The 7,287-nt window shown below is 40.0% G+C and overlaps 1 protein-coding gene across 4 annotated transcripts in view, besides 1 other annotated feature; it reads left to right on the top strand.

Moving 5' to 3' along the window:
* GAB2 (GRB2 associated binding protein 2) overlaps window positions 1-7,287 on the top strand; it is a 202,528-nt gene that overhangs the window by 122,079 nt on the left and 73,162 nt on the right. The gene's annotated exons all lie outside the window — the stretch shown is intronic.
* Window positions 5,185-5,479: an enhancer, noted in NCBI's record as "tiled region #2371; HepG2 Activating DNase matched - State 5:Enh, and K562 Activating DNase unmatched - State 5:Enh". NCBI's record gives its function as "activates a minimal TATA promoter and a strong SV40 promoter by Sharpr-MPRA in HepG2 and K562 cells {active_cell/tissue: HepG2 | K562}" and the evidence as "EXISTENCE:reporter gene assay evidence [ECO:0000049][PMID:27701403]".

Below are 7,287 nucleotides of genomic sequence, written 5' to 3'. Positions count from 1 at the left end.
CTGTCCTGTAAAACTTCTGTGACTCCTCGAGGCAAGCAGAGTAGTCCTCTCCGTCAAGCATCCACTGTTCATGTGGGTGCTGAGAACACCTACATGAACTGTGCTGAGAACCTCTGTTCATACCATTATAAGAGCACTGACCATGTACTGAGTTACCTATGTACTGTACTTGTCTGCCCTTTCCATAAGTCATGAGATCCTGAAGGACCTGGCATTACTGGATTTCATAAATGTTGATTGAATGATTGGAATGAGGAAGGGAGAGTTTGTGTAGGTGTGAGTAAGTGCTAATGGAAAAGACATTGAAAGTGAAGGAAAAAGAAAGTGGATTGAATAATGAATATGATCAGGGCTCTTGTAAAGGACCCCTGAGTTACTCCGGTGGTAGCAAACTGGTTCGGACATATGGTTACAGCCTGTATTGATCAGTGACCTAAGTTACCTTAAATGAGGAAAGAGTTTATTGACCCGGAAAGTCTAAGGGGAAAATCTAAATCTGGCCTCAGCCTCAGGTTAAGACTCACATTTCGCCATTCTAACTGGTGTGAGATGGTATCTCATGGTGGTTTTGATTTGCATTTCTCTGATGGCCAGTGATGATGAGCATTTTTTCATGTGTCTTTTGGCTGCATAAATGTCTTCTTTTGAGAAATGTCTGTTCATATTCTTCGTCAACTTTTTGATGGGGTTGTTTTTTTCTTGTAAATTTGTTTGAGTTCATTGTAGATTCTGGATATCAGCCCTTTGTCAGATGAGTAGATTGCAAAAATTTTCTCCCATTCTGTAGGTTGCCTGTTCACTCTGATGGTAGTCTCTTTTGCTGTACAGAAGCTCTTTAGTTTAATTAGATCCCATTTGTCAATTTTGGCTTTTGTTGCCATTGCTTTTGGTGTTTTAGACATGAAGTCCTTGCCCATGCCTATGTCCTGAATGGTATTGCCTAGGTTTTCTTCTGGGGTTTTTATGGTTTTAGGTCTAACATTTAAGTCTTTAATCCATCTTGAATTAATTTTTGTATAAGGTGTAAGGAAGGGATCCAGTTTCAGCTTTCTACATATGGCTAGCCAGTTTCCCCAGCACCATTTATTAAATAGGGAATCGTTTCCCCATTTCTTGTTTTTGTCAGGTTTGTCAAATGGCGATCATTAAAAAATCAGGAAACAACAGGTGCTGGAGAGGATGTGGAGAAATGGGAACACTTTTACACTGTTGGTGGGACTGTAAACTAGTTCAGCCATTGTAGAAGTCAGCGTGGCGATTCCTCAGGGATCTTGAACTAGAAATGCCATTTGACCCAGCAATCCCATTACTGGGTATATACCCAAAGGATTATAAATCATGCTACTATAAAGACACATGCACCTGTATGTTTATTGCAGCACTATTCACAATAGTAAAGACTTGGAACCAACCCAAATGTCCAACAACGATAGACTGGATTAAGAAAATGTGGCACATATACACCATGGAATACTATGCAGCCATAAAAAATGAGTTCATGTCCTTTGTAGGGACATGGATGAAGCTGGAAACCATCATTCTCAGCAAACTATCGCAAGGACAAAAAACCAAACACCGCATGTTCTCACTCATAGATGGGAATTGAACAATGAGAACACATGGACACAAAAAGGGGAACATCACACACCAGGGCCTGTTGTGGGGTGGAGGGAGCGGGGAGGGGATAGCATTAGGAGAGATACCTAATGCTAAATGAGGAGTTACTGGGTGCAGCACACCAACATGGCACATGTATACATATGTAACTAACCTGCACGTTGTGCACATGTACCCTAAAACTTAAAGTATAATAAAAATAAAAATAAAAAAAGACTCATATTTCATCAATATCCATCTTTTAACCTGCTTGCATGCTCTCGCTCTCCCTCACTCTCACACGTACTCTTTTTCTCTTGCTCTCTCTCGGTTGGCTGTTCTTAGGCGACAAATAGTGGTTCCTGCAACTTCAGGGAAATATTGTGACAACCCTTTGTCCAGTGACACAGCCAGTTTGAGTAACACAAAACAAAGGTCCTGGAGTTGAATCTTAATGACTCTGAGCTGGCTTGGAACATAACGCTTGTCGCTAAACTGATCACAGTGGCATGTAGGATGAAATGGTGCAAATTGGCTTAATCTAGATTACCATGATCTACTCCTTGAAGCCTATAGTTGGAGTCAGCTTTATATAAAGGATTCTAGGTGATCTTTTGTGTTTATGGTGTCTGTGTACCATCTTACCTGGAATAGAGATTGTGTTAAATTAACAGATCATCTGACTGAGAGGTTTTTTTCCCCCAAAACAGAAGCAAATAAACATTATTTTGTTCCTTTGGTATAACTTTCATTGAACAGTTATATAGTGCTTTGGAAGTATCAAGTCCTGTGCTAAATAAATGCTGGAGATACAAAAGCCCCTGACCTCAGAATGTCATAGTCTTGGGGTAAGAAAAAATTCATTCTGTGCCCGAGGAGCAAATAAGTTCCTTTAGAGTCCGAGGGAAACTGTACTTATCTGCCCTTTCTCAGATGAATGAGTCCAGAACAAATACAGTTAACTATGCTGCTCTCTTCTAGGGGATCTGCATTTGAGGAGTGGAAATAACTTTGGACTAGGAGCTGAGGCCTAGATTCTAGTTGCATTATTGCCATCTGCCATCACCAATTAACTATAAACTTGAATTCATAAACTCTGTGGCCAGTGTTTCTCAAAGTGTAGTGAGCAATTCATCTGCAGTAGCTTCACCTCAAGTTCTTTGTGGGTCTGGACCCACAGAATAAGAAGATCTTGGGCTGTGGTCTCTGTAAGTTGTTTAATCTCTATGAACTTCTTTTTCCTCACCTGTTAAGAGGATCCTATTTACCTTGCAGCATTTGTTAAAGGATTAAATGTGATAATGAGTAGAAAGCACATGGCAGGTAGCAAGAGCTCAGCAAATACACTTTTAAAAATTTCCTCAGAGAGTATAAAGTCTCTATGGTCCAGAGTAGTCGAAGGATTGCTAGAGGAAGGATAGCAAAAAGCCTTTCCTCGCTCAGGAAGTGTGCCTTCAAAAATGTGTAACTGTTACATGACTCCCACTGTACTCTTGTAATGTTTGCTGTTAACTATTATGGGACACGAGACTGGCATAGTAGCTTCGTGTTGAAATATATTAGGATAGACTTGTACATCATATGTTCAGAAGTGAGATCAGATTCCCCTGTGTCTTTGTGTTTGTTTGAGCTAGAACTCAACCACATCACCACCTGAGAGTTGACAGTTGAAAATATTTCTAAACCTCCAGAATCTTCTATCTTCTGCCCTGACTTTGGTATACCAAAGATAACAGAACTCTTCTTTGATGACTAAGGACTTCTCAAGGTCTCAAATCATCTTTTCTGATACCAAATCTCACGTGCCTTGTGGCTAAGGTTGTAGAAGGGGCAAGACATTACTTGGAAGAGGCTTTTGCGAAACTCCTGGAATAGGCGTGTCCTTTTAACTTCCCGCTTTCTGAAGAGGGTAAAACCAAAAACTGCCAGTAAACCTAGAGAATCCTATGAAGTGAGGTTTATGGTTAATCTGAATCTAACTGAGGTTACTGGGTGATACCTATAATTTAAACCTGTTAGGCGGGTATATGAAGAACATAACAGTTGTATCTTCAAAAAGCTCTTTGCCTTATTTTTTAAAAATTCACCAATAACAAAGACTGACTCTCTCTCTCTCACACACACACACACACACACACACACCCCTACACACCTCTTAGTGAAGCTCCCAGGTGGAGATGTGGTTATTCAGAAGAACACATCCCTCTGTTCTAAGAATCTGAGTAATCTGATTAAATGAGGTGTTACCATATCATGTTTTCTTAGTTAAAAAATACATAAGGGGCTGGGTACAGTGGCTCATCTGTAATTCCAGCACTTTGGGATGCTGAGGTGGGAGAATTACTTGAGCCTATGAATTTGACATTAGCCTAGCCAGCATAGTGAGACTCCATCTCTAAAAAAAAAAATTAACTGGGTATGATGGCGCATCCTGTGATCACAGCTAAATGGGAGGCTGAGGTAGGAGGATCGCTTGAGCCTAGGAGGTCGGGGCTACAGTGAGCCATGTTTGCGCCACTGCACTCCCGTCTGGGCAACAGAGGGAGACCCTGTCGCAAAAAAAAAAAAAAAAAAAAAAAAAAAAGAAAAAGAAAAAAGTAAGTCTCTCAAGATAGGGGAGAATAGACCTTAGGTAGTCTCTTGTCCATCTATTGATCTACTCTTTTTTTTTTTTGAGACAGAGACAGAGTCTTGCTCTGTTGCCCAGGCTGGAGTGCAGTGGTGCGATCTCCGCTCACCGTAAGCTCTGCCTCCCAGGTTCAAGCCATTCTTCTGCCTCAGCCTCCCGAGTAGCTGGGACTACAGGTGCTCGCCACCACGCCTGGCTAATTTTTTTTTTTTTTTTTTTTTTGTCGTTTTAGTAGAGACGGTTTCACCGTATTAGCCAGGATGGTCTCAATCTCCTGACCTCGTGATCTGCCTGCCTCGGCCTCTCAAAATGCTGGGATTACAGACGTGAGCCACCACGCCCAGCCTTGATCTACTCTTTGAGCCCTTCTTCTGTCACACTCCCCAACCTTCCCACCCTTTGTTTAGGCCAGGAGTCAACAAACAAATCCTGCCACCACTTCTTTTTCTAAGCAGTTTTATTGGAACACAGCCATGCCTGTTTGCTTATGAATTGTGTATGGTTGCTGTCATGCCACTATAGAACTGAGTAGTTATGACAGAGAAAATATGACCTGTAAAACCCAAAATATTTGCTAACATCCTTAACAAAGTTTGCTGATCCCTCACCTTGCCTCTTTCTTCAAAATCTCCAGTGTTGAGTATTCTCCAGTTTCCAAGAGACCTGCTTTGGACCACTCATTTAGAAAGTTCTTACGTTCTAAAAAAAATAAAATTTGGTTTTCCGTAGACTGCTCCTGCTGGTACTTGTTCAACTTGAGTATGTTGAGTAACTAAAAATAAATCAAATCGCTCTTCCACATATTGGCGGCCCTTTATATCTTAGAACAACACTATGATCATGACTCCAGGCAGAATCTTGCAGAATCCTGGTGTGATAAACTTTCACGGGCCTTCATTGTCACCAGAAGGGAGCATAACACTCTTGCACAGCTAAATTGTGGCCCACCTAGGTTTTCTGGGCGCCAAGAGCAATAAGAGGAAGTTATAGCCTCATTCTACATGCTTGAAGACCTTGAGATCTAACCCAAAGGATAGAGACAGGTTCATGTGACATGTACTGTCTGTTCAACAGCTAGGAGTGATGCAACTTCCAGGTCATATGTACCCACACTTTGTGGTCTTGATGGTTGTGAAATGGTTTGTTTTCTGACAGAAGGAAAACAGTCACTTCTATTTCATCAGAGATGGGAGTGGCATACCCTTGATCCTAGACACAAATTCTTTTTTCCAACTTTCTTGACAGTAGACCCTATCCATATACTTCTTTAAGCCCCACTGTTAAGTAAAGTGACTTTCATTGTCTTTTGTCTCCGTTATTACTACCCTAATTTAGATTGCCATCTTCTCTCACCATTGCAGACTATCGCAACAGCTTCTTAATTGTTTTCTTGTCTCTTATTTTTTATTTTTCTGGTTTGTCTCCCGCACTTTGCCAGATGAGAGCACAGCATTGGTTAACATTTCTCTGCTGATCTATACTCTTCAATGGCTCCCCGTTACAAATAAAGGAAAGATGAAACTTCTTAGGGTGGCATTCAAGGCTTTTCAGGACCTCCAAACTCTTCCTTTCCTCCCTCTTTTCCATATTGAGAAGACTGTGCCATATTCTCTGAACCTATTTTATCTGTTCCCATGCCCAGGCCTTGGTCATTGGTCATACTGTATGTTGTATTTAAAAAAAAAAAAAAAAAAAAAAAAAAGGTCCTGTTCTTCCTTTCCAAAACCGCATATCAAACCCTACCTTCCTCATTGTTTGTGTTCATTGCTCCTTCTCTCTCGTGCATGTTTGCTTTCTCTCATGCTGTTTCTCTCTCTTAACCCTGAAAGTTTGATTCCCTGCTTCAGTGGTCTACTAGCGTATTATGTCTTTTTTTATGGTGCTTACAAAAAAATCTTCTAGTTTTAGGGATATATATTAATGTCTTAACTTCCTGAAACTTTGTAAATATTGTAAGTTACTTCAAAGGAGTATTTTTGGGCCTTGCCTCTTTATCTGTCAAAGCATTCAACACATTTTGTGTTTGTTTTTACTGAATTCTATACAAGGAGCTTGTTGATTTCTCATGAAATGTACCTTAGATCCCAAAGATTTTCACCTTTTTTTCTAAACGTTTTATAGTTTTACATTTTACGTTTAAGTCCATGATTCATTCTGAGTTAGTTTTTGTATAAGATGTGAGACTTAGATTAAGGTCTTTACTCCCCTATGGATGCTTGATTGCTTTGGCACCATTTCTTGAAAAGGCCTTTTCTTTTCTTTTTTATATTAAAATTTTTAGTAGAGACAGGGTTTTGCCATGTTGGCCAGGCCAATCTCGAACTCCTGGCCTCAAGTGATCCACCTACCTTGGCCCCCCAAAGTGCTGGGATTACAGGCACGAACCATGACAACTAGCTGTTTTCTTGATTGAATTGCTTTTACACGTTTGTGAAAAATCAGTTGGGCATATTGTGAGGGTCTGTTTCTGGGTTTTCTGTTCTAATCCATTGTTCTTCACTTGATCTTAGCCAAACGGCCAAGAATTGATCTATTCCACTTTTCTGTGTCTGTCTCTTCGCCAGTGCTACACAGTCTTGATTGTTGTAGCTATATAATAAGTCTTAAAATCTGGCAGACTGATTCTTCCCATTTTATTTTTCAGAATTATTTTAGCTATTGTGCTTCCTTTGCCTTTTCATATACATTTTAGAACAATCTTACGTACATCTACAGACATTCTTGTGGGATTTTGATGGGAATTGTGTTAAATCTGTACGTCAGTTTGGGGAGATGCACCAAGTCGAGTTGTCCAATCCATGAATATGGTATGTCTCTTCATTTATTTAAGTCTCCTTTGATTTCTTTCATTAGCTTTGTATAGCTTTTAGCATACATGCCCTGCACAGCGATTTTTTTAGATTTATACCTTTTCAATTTTTAAGAACAATTATAAATGGCATTGTATTTTTATTTTATATGCCTGCATATTCATCGCTAGTTAGAAGTAAATTGATTTCTGTATGATTATCTTGTATCCTGTGACCTTGCTGAACTCACTTATTCGTCCTGAGAGTTTTGTT

This window comes from Homo sapiens, chromosome 11, assembly GCF_000001405.40.
Source record: "Homo sapiens chromosome 11, GRCh38.p14 Primary Assembly".
NCBI classification, from domain to species: domain Eukaryota; kingdom Metazoa; phylum Chordata; class Mammalia; order Primates; family Hominidae; genus Homo; species Homo sapiens.
Note: the sequence above shows the minus strand (reverse complement) of the source record. Positions and strands in the feature narration are given on the sequence as shown.